The following is a 22,089-nucleotide window of genomic DNA, read 5'->3' as shown; positions in this document are numbered from 1 at the left end:
GCAGTACTGATTATTGCTTTACAATTAATTTGTATATATCTGCCATTACTGAATTTTGTGAAGCATACCTTCCAGATGAATCAGCCAGAAAGGGCTGATTTTTTTTCTATTTTTTCTAGCTACTTTAGTACAACAGTAGGAATATGGCTTATTTTCTTGGAACCTCAAATCTTCTCATTCTTAAAATGGTTATATACCTAATATAGAATTATCAATAAATATTTCTGAAGATAATTGTAGTATTTATTTTTATGGTGCCTCAAATTCTATTATTTGAAATTGTCATAATTTCTTGATTTTGCAATAAAAAAGAACAAAAATAAACAGCATTAAGTTGATCAGTAATTTGGGGGGAAGGGTGATGAAAAAGTTCTTAGGTATATGGGAAATTTAGGTTAAGTATATCTAGAAATATTCTAAGGACTTCTGTCTGACCTTTACTGAAAAGCAAAATAGAAAGGAGAAAGAAAGAGAGAGAGAAAGAAAGAAGGAAAGAAAGAAAGAAAGAAGAAAGAAAGAAAGAAAAAAGAGAAAGAAAGATTGAAAAAGCATATGTTTTTATAGAAAAAATTGCATAATGGTGTTTTTTAAGCTTGAATAATTCTGTAATTCTGCATTAAAACATATTTAAATAATTTGAATTACACATTGTACACATTGTCAAAGTATCATGGATTATTCTCACTGAATGATTACCTCTGAGCCAATCACAATTTCCAAGGAGACTATTTATAGATGACTATTAAGTTCCCATATTTAGTGGAGTGGAGTTTACTTATAAGTAAGGAGTTCCTGTGTATTATAAAAATATAATTTGAGAGATCTTTAGCCACTATATTTAAATATTAATCTACTCTCAGAATAATTATTCTTACATGTGTTTTATCTTTGGATGTGAAAAAATAAAATAAAAATAAATTCTTTAACAAATACTGTAAAAAGCAGGGATGGAGGACAAAAAGAATTTCAACTGTTAAGTTAGTGAACATAAATATTAAATCAGCTGCTATAATAGCTATAAGGTTTTCTTCACTGATTTTAGCTGAACTTGTCTTCTAGCACTCTAGCAGAATATAAACGCAATATCAAAATGGAGCTGTCAGTTTTTGGCAGTATGCCATTTAGTTACCCTGAACAACAACAATAACAAAACGATAAATATTCAGAGGCCAAAAATCATATAAAAGTGACTAAGAAATTGTACAAGCATGGCTGGCAGATGACCAGGGGACATGTATTAAATCCCATTTGCCTAGATTTTCCCTTTTTTACAGGACCTAAGGAAGAGGGGACAAGCCTGCGGTCCAATAAAAATGGGGAAATCAGAACCAATAGAACCTGCATAAATATGGCACTCCCAAAAGACTCACTCTAGAAGTACATAAACCAGAACATTCTCTACAAAAAAAAAAAAAAAAAAAAAAAAAAAAAAGCAAGGTAAGAAAATGTGTGTGGGGGCCATTGGAATTTCCTCAAAATCTGCAATCACAAGCCAGCCTGCAAATGGGCACTTGTCTAGAATTTTTAATACCTGTGTGATCGGATATAGCCCCCAAACCCCGCTAAGTCAAGGACTTAGTCTAAATCTTCTCCCTGTAAATATTAATGAAAAAATGTGCAAATTATCTATAATAACTTTCACATCAAGCCTTATTATACTCCTATATATTTTTAATGCATCTCTTCTCTCTATCTCTCTCCCTCTCTCTCTCTCACACACACACACACCCTTACATGGAAATAAACCAACATAAGCAAAAATCAGTAGAAGAAAATGAATTTCACAAAACCAACAGCTCTACAAATACTATGTTTTACAATTATAGGATATAAAGTAAAAATACTTAATGTCATCAAATAAACATTGGAGGGAATATGAATTTGAAATTCAATGAATGGTGTAAACAGCAGACTATATATAGATGAATAGATAATAAATCAACAGTAGGATTGTTTTCTTGAATGTCAGAGAGACAAAAATATTTCAACCATGCTAGAGAGACATAAACAATGCCAATGCAGTAAGCCGACTTAAATATGTTTAAGTTATAGAAAATGATACCATATAAAATGGAGAAGAGACACTATTTGAAGTGATACATTTTAAGAATTGTAAAAAATGAACCTCTGGATTCCTGGACAAGATGGACGTATAGAAACAGCTCTGGTCTGCAGCTCCCAGTGAGACCAGTGCAGAGGGTGGGTGATTTCTGCATTTCCAACTGACGTACCCAGTTCATCTCATTGGGACTGGTTAGGCAGTGGGTACAGCCTGTGGAAGGAGAGAGAAGCAGGGTGGGGCATCACCTCACCGGGGAAGCACAAGGGGTCAGGGAACTCCCCTAGCCAAGGGAAGCCATGAGGGACAGTGCTATCCAGCCCAGATACTACTCTTTTCCTGGTCTTTGCAACCCACAGACCAGGAGATTCCCTCCGGTGCCACACCACAAGGGCCCTGGGTTTCAAGCACAAAAGTGAGCAGCCATTTGGGCAGACACTTAGCTAGCTGCAGGAGGGTTTTTTTGCACCACAGTTGTGCCTGGGACTCCAGCAAGACAGACCGTTCACTCCCCTGGAAAAAGGGCTGAAGTCAGGGAACCGAGTGGTCTTGCTCAGCGGATCCCACCCCCACGGAGCCCAGCGAACTCAGATCCACTGGCTTGAAATTCTCGCTGCCCACATGGCAGTCTGAAGTCGGCCTGGGACACTCTAGCTTGGTGGGGGGAGGGGTGTCAGCCATTACTGGGGCTTGAGTAGGCAGTTTTCCCCTCACAATGTAAACAAAGTCATCAGGATATTCAGACTGGGTGGAGCCCACTGCAGCACCACAAAGCCGCTGTAGCCAAACTGCCTCTCTAGATTCCTCCTCCCTGGGCAGGCCATCTCTGAAAGAAAGGCAGCAGCCCCTGTCAGGGACTCATAGAAAAAACTCCCATCTCACTGGGACAGAGCACCTGGGGGAAGAGGCAGATAGGGGCGCAGCTTCAGCAGACTTAAACATTCCTGCCTGGCAATTCTGAAAAGAGCAGCAGATCTCCCAGCAGCACACTGGAACTCTGCTAAGGGACAGACTGCCTCCTCATGTGGGTCCCTGACCTTCATGCATCCTGATGAGGAGACACGTCCCAGCAGGGGTCGAAGGACACCTCATGTAGGAGAGCTCTGGCTGGCATCTGGCGGGTTCCCCTCTGGGACAAAGCTTCCAGGGGAAGGAGCAGGCAGCAATCTTTGCTGTTCTGCACCCTCTGCTGGTGATACCCAGGAAAACAGGGTCTGGAGTGGATCCCCAGCAAACTCCAGCAGACCTGCAGAAGAAGGGCCTGTCAGAAGGAAAATTAACAAACAAAAAGCAATAGCATCAACATCAACAAAAAGGATGACCATGCAGAAATTCCATCTGAAGGTCACCAACAACAAAGACCAAAGCTAGATAAATCCACGAAGATGAGGAAAAACCAATAAAAAAGCCTGAAAACTACACAAACCAGAATGCCTCTTCTCCTCAAAAGGATCACAACTCCTCGCCAGCAAGGGAACCAAACTGGATGGAGAATGAGTTTGACAGAAGTAGGCTTCAGAAGGTGGGTGATAACAAACTCCTCTGACCTAAACGAGCATGTTCTAACCCAATGCAAGGAAGCTAAGAAACTTGATAAAATGTTAGAGGAATTGCTAACTAGAATATCCAGTTTAGAGAAGAACATAAATGACCTGATGGAGCTGAAAAACACAGTACGAGAACTTAGTGAAGCATACACAAGTATCAATAGCTGAATCAATCAAGCAGAATAAAGGATATCCAAGATTGAAGATCAATGTAATGAAATAAAGCATGAAGACAAGATTAGAGAAAAAAGAACAAAAAGGAATGAACAAACCCTCCAAGAAATATGGGACTATGTGAGAAGACCAAACCTAAGATTGATTGGTGTACCAGAAAGTGACAGGGAGAATGAAACCATTCAAATTGAGGAAATAGAGAGAACATCACAAAGATACTCCTCGAGAAGAGCAATCCCAAGACACATAATCATCAGATTCACCAAGGTTGAAATGAAGGAAAAAATGTTAAGGGCAGCCAGAGAGAAAGGTCAGGTTACCCACAAAGGGAAGCCCATCAGACTAACAGCGGATCTCTCTCCAGAAACCCTACAAGCCAGAAGAAAGTAGGGGCCAATATTCAATATTCTTAAAGAAAATGATTTTCAACCTAGAATTTCATCAGCCAAACTAAGCCTCATAAGTGAAGGAGAAAAAAAGTCCTTTACAGACAAGCAAATGCTAAGAAATTTTGTCACCACCAGGCCTGCCTTACAAGAGCTCCTGAAGGAAGCACTAAAAATGAAAAAGGAAAACTGGTACCAGCCACTGCAAAAACAAACCAAAATGTAAAGACCATCTAGACTATGAAGAAACCGCATCAACTAATGGAAAAATAACTAGCTAGCATCATAATGACAGGATCAAACTCACACATAACAATATTAACCTTAAATGTAAATGGGCTAAATGCCCCAATTAAAAGGCACAGACTGGCAAATTGGTTAAAATGTCAAGACCCATTGGTGTGCTGTATATAGGAGACACATTTCATGTGCAAAGACACTCATAGGCCCAAAATAAAGGGATGGAGGAAGATTTACCAAGTGAATGGAAAGAAAAAAAAAAAAAAGCAGGGGTTGCAATCTAGTCTCTGATAAAACAGACTTTAAACCAACAAAGATAAAAAAAGACAAAGAAGGGCATTACATAATGATAAAGGAATCAATGCAACAAGAAGAGCTAACTATCCTGAATATATATGCACCCAACACAGGAGCACCCAGATTCATAAAGCAAGTTCTTAGAGAACTACAAAGAGACTTAGACTCCCACACAATAATAACGGGAGACTTTAACACCCCACTGTCAACATTAGACAGGTCAATGAGACAGAGAATTAACAAGGATATCCAGGACTTGAACTCAGTTCTGGACCAAGCGGACCTAATAGAAATCTACGGAGCTCTCTACTCCAAATCAAGAGAATATACGTTCTTCTCAGCACCACATTGCAGTTATTCTAAAATCGACCACATAATTGGAAGCAAAACGCTCCTCAGCAAATGCAGAGGAATGGAAATCATAACAAATAGTCGCTCAGACCACAGTGCAATCAAATTAGGACTCAGGATTAAGAAACTCATTGAAAACCACACAAGTACACGGGAACTGAACAACCGGCTCCTGAATGAGTACTGGGTAAATAACGAAATTAAGACAGAAATAAATAAGTTCCTTGAAACCAATGAGAACAGGTAAAGCAGTGTTTAGAGAGAAATTTATAGCACTAAATACCCACAGGAGAAAGCAGGAAACTTTAAAATTAACATCCTAATATCACAATTAATAGAACTAGAGAAGCAAGAGGAAACAAATTCAAAAGCTAGCAGACGACAAGAAATAACTAAGATTAGAGCAAGACTGAAGGAGGTAGAGACACAAGAAACCTTTCAAAAATCAATAAATCCAGGAGATTTTTTTTAAAAAAGATTAACAAAATAGATAGATGGCTAGCCAGATTAATAAAGAAGAAAAGAGAGAAGAATCAAATAGACACAATAAAAAATGATACGAGGGATATCACCACTGATCCCACAGAAATACAAACTACCATCAGAGAATACTATAAATACCTCTACACAAATAAACTAGAAAATCTAAAAGAAATGTATACATTCCTGTACACAAACACCTTCCCAAGACTAAACCAGGAAGAAGTCAAATCCCTGAATAGACCAATAACAAGTTCATAAGTTGAGGCAGTAATTAATAGCCTACCAAGTAAAAAATCCCAGGACCAAATGGATTCATAGCTGAATTCTACCAGAGGTACAAAGAGGAGCTGGTACCATTCCTTCTGAAACTATTCCAAACAATATAAAAAGAGGGACTCCTCCCTAACTCATTTTATAAGGCCAGCATCATCCTGATACCAAAATGTGGCAGAGACATACATAAAAAAAGAAAATTTCAGGCCAATATACCTGATGAACATCAATGTGAAAATCCTCAATAAAATACTGGCAAACCGAATCCAGCAGCATATTAAAAAGCTTATCCACCACGATCAAGTTAGCTTCATCCCTGGGATGCAAGGCTGGTTCAATATATGCAAATCAATAAACGTAATCCATCACATAAACAGAACCAATGACAAAACCCACATGATTATCTTAATAGATGCAGAAAAGGCCTTTGATAAAATTCAACATCCCTTCATGCTAAAAACTTCCATAAACTAGGTATTAATGGAATATATCTCAAAATAATAAGTTATTTATGACAAACTCATAGCCAATATCATACTGAATGGGCAAAAGCTGGAAGCATTTCCGTTGAAAACTGGCACAAGACAAGGATGCCCTCTCTCACCACTCCTATTCAACATAGTATTGGAAGTTCTGGCCAGAGCAATCAGCAAAGAGAAACAAATAAAGGGTATTCAAATAGGAAGAGAGGAAGTCAAATTATCTCTGTTTGCAGATGGCATGATTGTATATTTAGAAAACCCCATCGTCTCAGCCCAAAAACTCCTTAAGCTGATAAGCAACTTCAGCAAAGTCTCAGGATAGAAAATCAACATGCAAAAATCACAAGCATTCCTATACACCAATAACAGACAAACAGAGAGGCAAACCATGAGCACACTCCCATTCATAATCACTACAAAGAGAATAAAATACCTAGGAATACAAATTACAAGGAAGGTGAAGGACCTTTTCAAGGAGAACTACAAGCCACTGCTCAAGGAAATTAGAAAGGACACAAATAAATGGAAAAACATTCCACGCTCATGCATAGGAAGAATCAATATCGTGAAAATGGCCATACGGCACAAAGTAATTCATAGGTTCAATGCTATTCCCATCAAGCTACCATTGACTTTCTCCACAGAATCAGAAAAAAAAATGATTTTAAATTTTATATGAAACCAAAAGAGCCCATATATCCAAGACAATCCTAAGCCAAAAGAGCAAAGCTGGAGGCATCACGCTACCTGACTTCAAATTATACTACAAGACTACAGTAACCTAAACAGCATGGTATTGGTACCAAAGCAAATATATAGACCAAAGGAACAGAACACACACCTCAGAAATAACACCACACATCTACAACCATATGATCTTTGACAAACCTGATGGAAACAAGCAATGGAGAAAATATTCCCTATTTAATAAATGGTGTTGGGAAAACTGGCTAGCCTGTGCAGAAAACTGAACCTGGACCCCTTCTTTACACCTTATACAAAAATTAACTCAAGATGGATTAAATATTTAAATGTAAGACCTAAAAGTATAAAATCACTAGAAGAAAACCTAGGCAATACTATTTAGGACATAGGCATGGGCAAAGACTTCATGACTAAAACATAAAAAGCAATGGCAACAAAAGCCAAAATTGACAAATGAGATCTAATTAAACTAAAGAGCTTCTGCACAGAAAAGAAACTACCATCAGAGTGAACAGGCAACTACAGTATGGGACAAATTTTTGCAATATATCCATTTGACAAAGGGCTAATATCCAGAATCTACGAGGAACTTAAATAAATTTACAAGAAAAAAAATAAAAATAAAACAACCCCCAACAAAAAGTGGGTGAAGTATATGAACAGACACTTTTCAAAAGAAGACATTTATGTGGCCAAAAAACATATGAAAAAAGCTCATGATCGCTGGTCATTAGAGAAACGCAAGTCAAAACCACAATGAGATACCATCTCATGACAGCTAGAATGGCGATAATTAAAAAGTCAGGAATCAACAGATGCTGGAGAGGAAGTGAAGAAATAATAATGCTTTTACACTGTCGGAAGGAGTGTAAATTAGTTCAACCATTGTGGAAGACAATGTGGCGATTCCTCAAGCAACTAGAACTAGAAATACCATTTGACCCAGCAATCCCATTACTGAGTATATACCCAAAGGATTGTACATCATTCTACTATAAAGACTCAAGCACACTTATGTTTACTGCAGCACTATTAACAATAGCAAAGACTTGGAACCAACCCACATGCCCATCAATGTTAGACTGGAAAAAAAAGACGTGGAACTTGTTCCACATATACACCATGGAATACTGTGCAGCCATAAAAGGAATGAGTTCATGTCCCTACAAAGGGATGAAGCTGGAAACCATCATTCTCAGCAAACTAACACAGTAACAGAAAACCAAATACCACATCTTCTCACTCATAAGTGGGTGTTCAACAATGAGAACATATGGGCCCAGGGAGGGGAACATCACACACTGGGGCCTGTTCGGGGGTGGGAGAAAAGGGGAGGGAGAGCATTAGGAGAAATATTTAATGTAGGTGACAGGTTTATGGGTACAGCAAACCACCATCGCACATGTATACCTATTTACAAACCTGTACTTGTAATTAAAAAAAAAAAAAGAAATGAACCTTTGATTCAGGAAACCCAACATATACCAACCATGATTTAAAAACATAATATAATCCATACCTAAACATATAGTAGTGAAATATTTCAATATTAAAGACTAAGAGAAGTTCTTAATGGCTCTTAACCTGCCAAAAAGCCCTTAATTGTTCTTAACCTGGTAGAAATGACAGCTTAAAAAATGTCTTTCAAGAGAGAAGGGGAAAAAAGACATTTGCAAATGCTGGTAATTTACTATTAAATGACGCCCATTAGAACAATATCTAAAAGATGCCAAGGAAGAAGGAAAATGGTCAAGGACAAAGATCTGTGATGTAAGGAATAGTGTGCTAAAAAAAACAAGTGAGCATGTGGATAAGTGTGTACCATGCACACACACATAGACACACACACACACAAAACAGGACAAATATGTTTTAGAGATTACAAGAGAAACTATGATTTTTAAATGCTTTCAAGAATAAGTAAAAATATTATGAGGCTTGGTCTATTGTTGTAAATTTCATTGATTTGAACGATTTAAAGTACAAGTTAGTAAATCAGAAAGACATGGAAATTTCTTAACAAGTCTTCTGCTTTTATATCAATTGATCCAAATAAAACTTTCAGGAATTTTATTATATTTTATTCTAGAAGAGACTCATAAATTCGTATAGGTGTAAGATAAAGGATATATTTACATTTTCATAAAAGATAGACTATTTTTTCAGTTTCTGAACTGTGTAAAAGTTTGAGAAGAGAATTAAATGTTACTATGAAAATATTGCTACATTTCAAAACCTTGCATTCAGAAATCCACAATTCAAACAATCACCCAAAAACCCTGTTTTGCATAATTTAGGAATAATAATCTAAGGTCCCAAATAAAGCTGACTAAAATAACTGTAAACACAGATGAACTAACAAACTTCAGGTTTATGAATTTGAATTTTAACTGTGATTATTTGTTAACAACCATATTTTCTAACGAAGATGCTATAACATGACATTCATTATAATTGCAAATAATTACAGATGGTGTTAAGTGTTAAAAACTTCTGTCAAAGAAAAAATTGATAAATACTAGCTTAAAATATTGTCATAAATCTTTTTGAAAAAAATAGTATAAATGTTAGCTTGTTTAAAAAATATTACTCTAGAATCATTTTAAGAGCCCATAACCATTTCATTCCAATTAAGCACAAAGAATAATTAATGCATGTTCAGCTGCAAAACAAGTCAGAATAAGTTTTATTTTATAATTATAAAAACCTTGCAACATTCAAAAATAAGGTTAAAGAATCAAAAGCTGTTACAACTCTAGCTCTGTCCATTTCTTTAAAAAAATTATGAAGCATTTTGTAAGAATACGAAGTTTATCCTTACAAAGCATTGTATACTTACAAATTGCTTCAATTTTTACTTAAGAATTAAATAATTTATCCATTTATCAAGAAGTTTATCATCTATCGTGGCCCACAGAGTATCAACCCAGAGTTACAATACAGGCAAATGTTATGTAAGAGATATGCACAGGTTGCTATTTAATCTTAAAGAAGTAGTATAACAAACTTGAGTGTATCGGGAAAAAAAAAAAGCTTATGGGCAGATATGTTTTAGTTACATTTTATTAGTGAAAGAGACCCTAAAATTAATGTAAATATCTGTTGTGTGTGTGTGTGTGTCTGTTTGATCCCAAGACAGTAGACTCTCATGGTTTAGTTACAAAGGTGGGTAAGGAGACAAAAGTCAATAATGTCATTACCCAATTTGACATTGAATTATTGTTGTTACCCTTAGTGTCTCTTTTCACAACCCATTTTCTACTTGGCTTCATAGTTTAAACTTGCTTTTTTTCCCACAGAGTTTTGTTTTTGTATAAATGAACACTTTAAGGAGTCTGGTCAACAATGCTAAATGCTGCGATATTATCTCAGGATTCTGTAGGGCTTCTTTTCTTTTACATCCAGTCCTCCAAATGATAGCTACACATAAAATCTGCGTTCATATTCCCCACAAAAAATACTTCCCAAAACTATTGTGTTTATTTTCACACACTTTCCAAGTTTCTTCATTTTGTTTTTCCAATAGCCAGTGCTGTAATCCTAGGTTTCAGACCTGTTCTCAGTACTACCCAATAAAGATCAGACATTCTTTCTGATGTGCCCCCTCATTGATACATCTGCTTCTCCTCTGCTAGCACCTTAGTAGAGTCTCCTGTATTACACTCAATCCAAAGCTAACTCTTTGAAAAGACTGGTTTTATTTTTATTTTTTTCAACTTTTATTTTATATTCAGGGGGTACAAGTGCATGTTTGTTACCCGGGTATATTTCATAATGCTTAGATTTGTGGTATGATCCTGTCACCCAAGTATTGAGCGTAGTGCCCAATAGGTTTTCAATCCTTTCCCCCCTCCCTAGTAGTCCTCAGTTTCTATTGTTGCCATCTTTAAATCCATGAGTACCTAGTGTTTAGCTCTCACTTGTAAGTGAGAACATGTGGTATTTGGTTTTCTGTTCCTGTGTTAATTTGCTTAGGATAACGGCCTCCAGCTGCATCCACATTGCTGCAAAGGACACAATTTTGTTAGAAGACTAGTTTTAGTGACTTACTCTGCTATTTCTTTTCTCACTGACTATATGTGTATCTGTGTGTGTGTGTGTGTGTGCATATATATATATATATATGTTTGTGATAGTCTCTGTGCTTTAGCTATGTTGTAGGCAGACAGAATATGTGATGCTTTATGTTCCATTGTTGATATTTGTATTTCCTGAAGGATGGGGCCAGCATTTTCCTATGGGAACTATAAAGTCAAAACATAACTTGGTAAAGCAGCCAAGCCAGTTATACAAAATGTACGCTTTTTTTTATTATACTTTAAGTTTTAGGGTACATGTGCACAATGTGCAGGTTAGTTACATATGTATACATGTGCCATGCTGGTGTGCTGCACCCATTAACTGGTCATTTAGCATTAGGTATATCTCCTAAAGCTATCCCTCCCCCCTCCCCCCACCCCACAACAGTCCCCAGAGTGTGATGTTCCCCTTTTTAGTGTTGTCATAGCATTTTATTCTTGCATAGTCTGCTTTGTTCCCCCATCCTTTCTATTTTCTGTAATCTAGAAGTTCGATATAGGGTTAAACTTATTTTATAAAATAAATTATACATGATTGTGTATACTTTATTTTGTATCATAACGGGGGGTGAAGAGTGCAAAGTTGCTTTGTTGCTAGTAAAACCAATTTCACTCATGTGGTTAAGCTGATGACGGTCAGATATCTCTATTTTAATTGAATAGTTTTCCTTCTTAATTAGTTATTAGTAGGAGGACAAAATTCAGTCATCCACACAAAATGTAATTGTCAGGATCTGAAAATTTTATGTGAAGATATAAAAGATAAATCTCTGAAAAACTCTCATTACCAACTCTTTAAAAAACAAGGAAGAAAATATATTTGAAATTTCAGCAAAATCTTATGTTCTTATGTTCGGTTACCTTTGGTAAAAATACCAATGAAATAGAAGTCTTAATATATTAGATAGTTAAAAAAATCACTTAGATTATCTTACCAATACTTTTCAGATCTAAATGGACAGAAATTGAGTAGTGTCCCCAAATTACAAATTTTCCTGAAGCGTATTTCTCTTTTATTGTTGCACTGCCTAAATAAATATACAGAAAACTCCAGAAGGCCAGGTAGAGGAAAATATTATCCCACAAAACAGTGTGTAGTTTGTCAAAGAAAATATAATTGATGACTTTATGAAAAAGTATAATGCTCACTAAGAATGAGAAAAGTATAACAAGACTCAATCAACTAAAGAATACAAGCTACAAACTAAAGATCATATTTAACTAAACTTGATAAAAATGCCTCTAAAATTAATAATTTTAAAATTAGAAACAATTATGTTCACTGACCAGAAAACAATATAATAATATTTTTAACACTTGACTCTTCTTTAAAATATTTAGACTCAGGGAAATTAATAAAGGAAATAAAGTTGGTCAGGGAATATATGCTTAGGAATGTTTACTATCTCTAACCCTTCTTCTCTCTCTCTCTTTTTCCTTTACTGTTCTTTTTTGCCACTGGGAGCTATAGATAAATACATGAATTGGTGCTAAAGAAAAGGATATTTTCATTGGGAGAAGAAGCATAAAGGTCATTGATATTTTCTTGAAACCGTCAGTTATGAATAACTAGATTTGCAGGGAGATACAAGTCTAACTCAGGTGATCTCAAAGGACCCCTTCAAGGTCTTTGATTCTATTACACAGACAACATTCCATGACAGAATAACACAGAATTTAGAGTAAGAAGCTGGAATTTGTGTTCCAACTTTACCTCTGATTGGTATAATATCATGATCAAATCACTATGTCTATCTGTTTTCATTGCTTAATGATGTGCTTGACATAATTATAATAAACTGCCCAGATTACAATGAAGACACACACGTATATCTTTATTAAAATAAACATAGCTAGTAGTGTAGTAATGAATATACACATTTAAAATTATACTAGCTATATTTATTTCAATTAATGTATAAATACATACATATATAAGTAAATTTTCTGTAATTTTAGTTATAGTTCTGTATATAATGCACCCATACAACATAGCTCTATATTTGTCACATCTTTGTTTTACTTAAAATGTTTCCTGGATAATCCCTTTTACAGGTTATAATGTGCTAAGATCAATCTACAGCAGCTCTGTGTTACAGTACAGAATAAAAACCTGTGTTTTACCTGTATGAACTATATAGAATGTTCTTCACACTCAATTGAATGAACAATTGAGTAATTTCCTTTTTCTAATGGACTTAATTAATCAGAGAACTCATGTCTGCTAATGTGCCATCCACAGTAGATTTTAGAGAGTTTATTCTGTTACAAGAGAATTTTAGCGATTAGTGTAATGTATTTAAGTGACATTATTTTTCTCTTCCTAATTAAGTGGCCACTTTATTTTTTAAATGAAATGCATAGAAAATATAACATTAAGTTTGTCAAAAAGGAAGATAATAAATGAGTATCAATTAGATGAAAAGTGAATATTTTTAATAACCAACGTTTATTTTGCTTGAAACCTTATTTCAAAGACACACTATGCTAATAGTTCTCAAAAATTCTTCTTTATGTTCTATTTGTATATTCATGATACACAGATCTCATATTAGGATTCTTCAGAGAAAGAGATGATTAGAACCAATAATTTATATTAAAAGAAACACTTTTACTGTAATATTTTCATTAATGAGTTATCAAGAATAAACTAAAGTTCAGAATCTCACTCCATAGATTTTCAAGTTTGTAGTGTACAAATATGCCCAAATACAGTGAAGAGTGTAATGAAATTAACCTAGTTCTCAGTTCAGGAAACAGATTTAGTCAATCTCAGCAAATCATTTTGTTATTCTTCCTAAGTTATAGTTAAAACAAATTGCATCCTCTTTGAGAATTATGTCTAACCTAGTGGACACATCTTGATTATATTAATCAGAGTTCCAGTGTTCAATATGGTTCTATTAAATTTGTATTACATATAAGATTGACATGTAGTAAAAGGAGAACTAAAAACAAACACCATTATATTATCTATAGAGATTACTTACCCAGTTTTTAATTGGATATCTGTTTCTTTGTTTCTCTTAAGTCACTGAGTTTGTTTTATATTCTGGATATTAGTGCTTTGTCAGATAAATAGTTTATAAATGTATTCTCCCATTTCAAAAAAAAGGAAAAAGAAAGAAAGAAAAAATAACTAGGAATAAATTTAACCAAGAAAGTGAAAGACCTTGACAAGAAAAACTACAAAACAATGAAGAAAGAAATTGAAGAGGGCACAAATAATAAAAAGACATCCAAGATCATGGGTTAGTATAATTCATATTGTTAAAAATGACTGTACTACCCAAAGCAGTCTATAGATTCAATGAAATCTCCAACAATATACCAATGCAAAAAAAAACTAAAATTTTTTTCTGAACCACAATAGACACAGAATAGCCAAAGCAATACTCAGCCAAAATAATAAAGCTGGAGGCATCACACAACCAGATTTCAAAATATATTACAAAGCTATATGTTAACCCAATTAGTGCAGTATTGGCATAAAAACAAAAATATAGACCAATAAAACAGAGTAGAGAGCCCAAACAAAAATACATGCATTAACAACTCATTTTCAACAGAGTCACCAAGAACAAACAGTAGGAAAAGCAAGTCTCTTTAATAAATGGTGAAGATAACTGGATATCCATATGCAGAGAAATGAAACTAAACCCCTATATCTCATCATGTACAAAAATAAAATTGAAATGGATTAAAGACTTAAATATAAACCCTGAAACTATAAAACTATTAGAAAAAAGCCTAGGGGAAACACTTCAAAACATTGGTCTAAGCAAAGATTTTATGGGTAAGAGTTGAAAAGTACAGATAACAGAAACAAAAGTAGACAAATGTGACTGAAATGAAAATGTATCTGCACAGGAAAAACAAATCCACAGAGTGAAGAGACAGCCTATATAATGGGAGAAATACAGACTCATTAGAGACTATTATGCACAAGTATACAATAACACATTGAAATTGAAATTGAAAAATCTAGTATAGCTCTCGTGAAAGACAGTATGTAAGTTTCTCAAAAAACTGAAAATAGAAATACCATACATGCTAGCAGTCCCAATACTGGCTATCTAAAGAAAAGGGAATCAGTATTCCAGAGGGATACCTGCATCCCTATATTCATTGCAACACTATTCACAATAGCCAAGATATAGAATCAACCTAAATGTTCATCAACAAATAAATGGATAAAGAAAATGTTATGTATATATACACAATAGTATACTATTCAGTCATAAAATAAAATCCTATCATTTTCAGTAATGTGGATGGAACTAGAGACCATTATGTTAAGCAAAATAAGTCTGGCAGAGAAAGACAGTTGTCACATCCTTCACTCATATGTAGGAGATTAAAAATGTTGATCTCATGAAGATCATGAAGACAGACAATAATATGATACTTACTAGAGACTGAGAAGGGGTAGGAATGTAGACAGTTTGGTTAATGGATACAAACTTACAGTTAGATAGAAGGAATAAACTCTAGTGCTCGATAGCACAGTAGGATGAATATAGTTAATACCTAGAAGATTTTAAATGTTCCCAATACAAAGTAATAAGAAATGCTCGAGTTGGTGAATATCTTAAGCACCCTAATGTGATCATTGCACATTGCATGCATATATCAAAAAACAAATGCACCCCATAAATGTGTACATTTTTTGTATCAATAAAAAAGTAATAAAAATAATTACAACAAAGTGTGACATTTATTTTCCACTTGTTGGGTATCATGTTCTTCTAAACACTTTTTTTAGTTTATTTCATTTATACCTCACACATTTACATTTCACAACTTATTATAATAATTATTTTATAGATTAAACAATTTAAGTTTGTTTAGAAAAAATAGGTTGTTCATAGTTTCCAATTTAAAGGTGGTGAGAGTAGAATTCAGCTGATGCAATTTGATGCTACAACCTGGAGTAATACATGTTATTCTATAATGCTAAGTCATGACTCCCATCTTTGATTTCTAGGATTTATGCTAAAGCAAGTGCAGCCAAAGACACATAATGATATGGCAGGGGTGCAGGTGGGTGTGGGGTTGGGGAGGTAAGCAGTCCACAGGTGTGTGTATTTCAGGACAGCAGTCAGGATATGAATTCACAAACCCCACCTTTGTACTTGTACCACTGTAAAATGAGCTCCATAAAAGTGTCTGCAGTTAGAAGGTGTAGCCCAAAGTGGCTGCCACCCTCTACTCAAGACTTCTTCAAATAGCTCACAAAATATTTTTCTTTTAGTCACAATTTATGATATGAGTGCATAGGCATAACATCTATCTTCCCAGCACTGCCTACCTTCTCTTAAATTGCTTTACTAATGTTTTAAAGGGAATAATTCTATAGCATGAGTTGAATCCTATTCTTGACCCGTAGTTTGAAAAATCTCAGCCTTCTCAACTTATCTCCAAAATATGTTTTAAATTGAAAATTCTAGGTTGAAAAACTGTGCTACCTTATTTTCCTAGACTTTTGCCTTAGCTTTAAAAGAAGCTATTACCTATGCTAAACTCCTAGGTGAAAAAAAATGTACATATAAGCATTAGCCTTTCAAAATGTTATTTAATTTTATAAAGGCAAATTTATGTTTGCAGGTACTCTGTGACATGTAAAAATCCCACAAAAGTGTTTACAACATGCAGATTATTTAATATTTGTAACACTGTATAATATTGTATCAGATGAAAACAAATTCAATATTTTAAAATCATTCACTTTGATCATTTCAAAGTTACCAATACTAGAAAACATTTTTTGTTTGTTTTGTTTTGTTTTGTTTTGTTTTGTTTTGTTTTGTTTTGTTTTGTGAGAAAGTCTCACTCTCTCACCCAGGCTGGAGAGCAGTGGTGTGATCTCGGCTCACTGCAACATCTGCCCTCTGGGTTCAAGCGATTCTCCTGTGTCAGCTCCCCAAGTAGCTGGGATTACAGGCACCTGCCACCGCGCTGTCTAACTTTTGTATTTTTAGTACAGACAGGGTTTCACCACGTTGACCAGGCTGGTCTTGAACACCTGTCCTCATGATCCATCTGCCTTAGTCTCCTAAAATGCCAGGATTACAGGCGTGAGCCACAGCGCCTGGCCAAACAATTGATTTTAATAATACACATGTATTTTAAAATATGATGTTTTGTGAACAACCATTAACTAAGACAAGAGGACTGGATCAAGTGCCTGCAATTTATTCTTCATAACAGCAAACAAAGTCTGTAAATTAATGATAATACTTGAAAATGTTGGAGCATGATGACATACTAGGACTATAGTAACTGTCCTTCTGCAGAAACAATAATTTGAATAACCATCCACACATGAAAGTATTTTCACAAGAGCTGAGAAAACCAAGTGAGAGTTCACAGTACTTGATTGTAGCACAATAATAAGATAAGGCACATTGAAGAGGATAGAAATGACAGTTTTACATTACCCATGCCACCCCTCCCTCAATGTCAGGTGGCATAGCATAGAGAAAAATACTGTCTAATTAGAGGAAAGAGAGGAAAGTGAGCATAGACTTTGTCTTGGATCCTAGCATCAGGCCCAATACCGTAAAACCCAGACCAGGAGACTCCCAAGGCCTGTGACTCCAGGCCACTACCCACAGACTGAATGTTCAGATTTGCCTCAGTTCCAGGGAGAAAATTCTATCTCCTATGAGGCAAACTAGACTTCTGGCTTGCATCACCAACAGGCAACTACAGTGGCCCTGGGTTTAGCAGCAGACAGGCCTCAGTGACTGTGAGCTTTGAAAATGTCTAAACTCTATGCTAGCCTCAGTAGCCAAAGGATTCCAGCCCAGAAAAATGCTGGCTGTAACAGTCCCCGGCTTAGGGCACTACCCATTGCCACAACAGCAATAGTAGTCCTGGGCTCAGGGACCATGCCAGACAACCTGTTCAAATCTCTGAATAGTCTTACTGTTGAAGGGCATTTCCATACAAAGACAGCCTTTGAGGACTGGAATGACTACTGACTTCCTCAAATGTGCAGACATCAATGCATGATCACACGGATCAAAAACAAATCACAGAAACATGATTACCAAACAGAAAAATGCAGATGCCAGTCGATAAACCTAAGACATAGGGATTTATGAACTGTTTGAAAAGAAATTCAAAATAATTTTTAAAAGAAAGCTCAGTGAAATTCAAGAAAATATAGAAAAACAACTTAATAAATAGAGAACAATATATTACCAGAAAAATAATTTAATAGAGATTAAAATAATAATAAAATTAAACAGAAATCTCAGAGCATAAACATAAAATGAACAAAATGAAAAATGCAATAGAGAACATCAGTGGCAGAATTGATCAGGTAGAAGAAAAGATCTGTGAACTTCAAGACAGGTTATTTGAATCTATACAGTTTGATAAGAAAAATAATAAAAAGGAATGTAAAAAACTTATGAAACTTATAGTACCATCAAGAATTCAAATATTTAAGTCAAAGTCATCAAGAAAAACAAAGGACCAGAAAGTTTAAAAACATAATAGCAGAAAAATTTCCCAACACGGAGAAAAATATAATTATCCAAGTACAGTAAGGCCAAAGGTCTCTAATAAGGCTACCTAAAGACACATTATAATCAAATTGTCAATGATCAAAAACAGTGAAAGGGTACTGAAAGCAGCAAGCAAAAAGCAAATAACACGTAAGGGAGTTCGAATAGACCTAAAGGCAGACTTCTCAGCAGAATGCATACAGGCTAGGAGAGAATAAGAGAAACGCATACAGGCTAGGAGAGAATAAGATGAAATATTCAAAGTGCTGAGGAAAAAACAAAAACAAAAACAAAACTGCCAACCGAGAATCCTAAATTCAGCAAAACTATCTTCCAGAAATAAAGGAGAGATAAAAAATACTTTCCCAAACAAACAAAAGCTGAGAGAGTTCATCACCATCAGATATGACTTAAAAGAAATGCTTAAAAGATTCTTTTTCATGCTATGAAAAGAGTGCTAATGAAATGTAAAACTCACTAGTAAAAGTAAGTACATACTAAAATTCAGAATACTCTAATACTGTCATGGTGGTATGTAAATCATATCTGTAGTATGAAAGTTTTAAAGACAAAAGTATTACCAATAATTTTAGCTACAATAATGTGTCAGGAAGGATGCATTATAAAAATATGTAAATTTTGACATCAGAAATTCAAAATTTGGGGGACAGAGTGAAGTAAAAGTGTAGAGTTGTTCTTTGCATGTGGGATCAAAGTTAAGTTGTCATCAGCTTAGAATAACCTATTACAACTAAAAGATTTTTTTTGTAAACCTTATGGTAACCACAATGTAAAAATCTATAGTAGATACACAAAAATAAAAAGCAAAAAATCCAAACATAACACTAGAGAAAATCATGTAATTACAAAGGAATTTAGTAAGAAAGGAAGAAAGGAACAAAGGATTTACAAAACAACTAGATAATAATAAAATGGCGGTAGTAAACCTGTACCTATCAATAATTATTCTGAATATAAATGGATTAAATTCTCTAATCAAAAAACTTATAGTGGCTGAATGGAATGAAAAAATATTCAACTCTGTAATATCTACAAGCGACTCACTTCAACTTTAAGGACAAGAACACACACAGATTGAAAGTGAAAGGATTATAAAAGACATTCTATGTAAATTGTAACCAAAAGAGAGAGACAGTAGCTACGCTTATGTAAGATAAAATAGATATTAAATTGAAAACTGCAAAAGAAACAAAGTCATCATATAATAATAAAGTGGCAAATTCAGCAAAATAATATACAATAGTAAATATATATGTACCCAACATATATGAATAGATCATCCAGACAGAAAATCCATGAGAAAACATCAAACTTGAAACACACTGTAAACCAAATGCACCTAACAGACATATACAGAACATGCTATCCAACAACTGCAGAATACAAATTCTTCTCAAGTACACATGAACATTCTCTAGGATAGATCATATGTTACATCACAAAACAAGTCTTAATGAATTCAAGAAGGTTGAAATTTTACCGAGCTTGCTTACAAGCAGTCTTACTGCTGAGTATATCCCAAAGAAAGGAAACCAGTACATCAAAGAGATACCTGTACTTCCATGTTTATTGCAGCACTATTTGTAATAGCCAATTGAAATATTACCAAGTATAAAACTAGAAACTAATATAGCTAAAGAAACTTCTGGAAACTTTCAAATGCATGGAAATCAAACAATCCTGAACAACCAGGCCAATGAAGAAGTTAAAAGTTAAATTTAAAAATATCTTATGCCAAATGAAAGTATAAAAAACAGCACACCAAAACTCATGGGATGCAACAGAAACAGTTAAAAGAGAAATTTATAGCAATAAATGTTCTATGCTTTGAATATTTGGTCCCTTCAAAACTCATGCCTAAATGTTGTCCCCAATGTGGCAACATTGTGAAGGATTCTTTACGAAGTGATTGAGTCCTAAGTGTTCTGCCCTCAGGAATGGATTAATCTATTTATAGATTAATGTACTGATGGGTTAATGAATTAATGGTTTATCATGAAAGTGGAATTGGTGACTTTATAAGAGGAAGAGACACCTGAGCTAGCATGCTCACCCCTCTCACTGTGATGCCCTACATCACCTCTGGACTCTGCAGATAGTATTCACTAGAAAAAAAGGCCTTCACCAGATCTACCCTTTTGACCTGGGACTTTCTAACTTCCTGAAATGTGAGAAAAAAAATCATTTTCTTTATAAATTATCCAGTTTCTAGTATCCTGTTATAATTAATGGGAAATGACAAAGACAAAATGCCTACATCATAAAAGAAAAAAATTGTATAAACAATGTAATGGTGTTCCTCAAGGAACTAGAAAAAATAAGAACAAACTAAATGCCAAATTATTAGAAGTAATAAAGTAATAAAGATCAGAGCAGAAATGAATGCAATTGGAGACTAAAATAATGATGAAAAAAAATCAAGGAAACAAAGAGATGGTGTTTTGAAAAGACAAAATTGACAAACTTTTAGCTATACTAAGACAAAAAGAGGGAAGACTCATATAGGTAAAATCAGAAATAAAAAGAAGACTTTTTCATCTAATACCTCAGCAGCATGAAAGAACCAAAGAGAATATGATGAACAATTAAACACCAGCAAATTGAATAATCTAGAAGAAATTGATGATTTTGTTAACACATAATGTACCAAGATTGAATTACAAAGCAGTAAGGAATCTGAACAGAACAATAATAGCACTTAATCAGTAATAAAAATTATCTCATCAAAGAAAAATCCACAATGAGATGGATTCACGTCTGAATTCTATGAAATATTTAAGAGACAACTAAAATCATTCTTTTCAAATTATTTCATAATTTTAAAGATAAGAAAATACTTCCAAACTCATTTTATAAGGTCAGCATTACCCTGGTAAACAATGTCAATGACACTACAAAACAAAATAAAATGAAACAAACCAGAAAAACAACAACAACAACAAAATAACCATTACAGGCCAATATCCCTAATGAATATGGAAGCAAAACTCCTTATATCAGCAAACAGAAATTAACAACACATCAAAAATATAACTATTCTAGTAGTTTGGTAGTTTCAGGTCCTTAATTTAAATCTTTAATCCATTTTTATTTGATTTTTGTATATGAGAAGAAATAGGGGTCTAGTTTTATTTTTCTGCATAGGGATGGATATTCAGTTTTTCCAGCAATATTTATTGAACGTGCTTTCTTTTTCCCAGAATTTGTATTTGGCACCTTTACCAAAAACAAGTTGATTGTAAATGCATGGGTTTATTCCTGGGATCTCTATTCTGTTCCATTAGTCTATATGTTTGTTTTTATGCTAGTACAGTGCTCTTTTGGTTAACATAATTTTATAGCATAATTTGAAGTCTAGTAGTGTGATGCCTATAATTTTGTTCTTTTTACTCAGTATGGTTTGGCTGTTCTGAGTCTTTTGTTGATCCATATACATTTTAGGATTATTTAATCTATTTATATGAAAAATGTTCTT

The 22,089-nt window shown here is 34.4% G+C and overlaps 1 annotated feature.

Annotated features, from left to right (window-relative positions):
* Positions 2,547-3,047: an enhancer, noted in NCBI's record as "H3K4me1 hESC enhancer chr5:99099024-99099524 (GRCh37/hg19 assembly coordinates)". NCBI's record gives its function as "activates a minimal SCP1, AML or CMV promoter by ChIP-STARR-seq in naive H9 embryonic stem cells {active_cell/tissue: H9 hESC(naive)}" and the evidence as "EXISTENCE:reporter gene assay evidence [ECO:0000049][PMID:30033119]".

This window comes from Homo sapiens, chromosome 5 (assembly GCF_000001405.40).
Source record: "Homo sapiens chromosome 5, GRCh38.p14 Primary Assembly".
NCBI lineage: Eukaryota > Metazoa > Chordata > Mammalia > Primates > Hominidae > Homo > Homo sapiens.
Note: the sequence above shows the minus strand (reverse complement) of the source record. Positions and strands in the feature narration are given on the sequence as shown.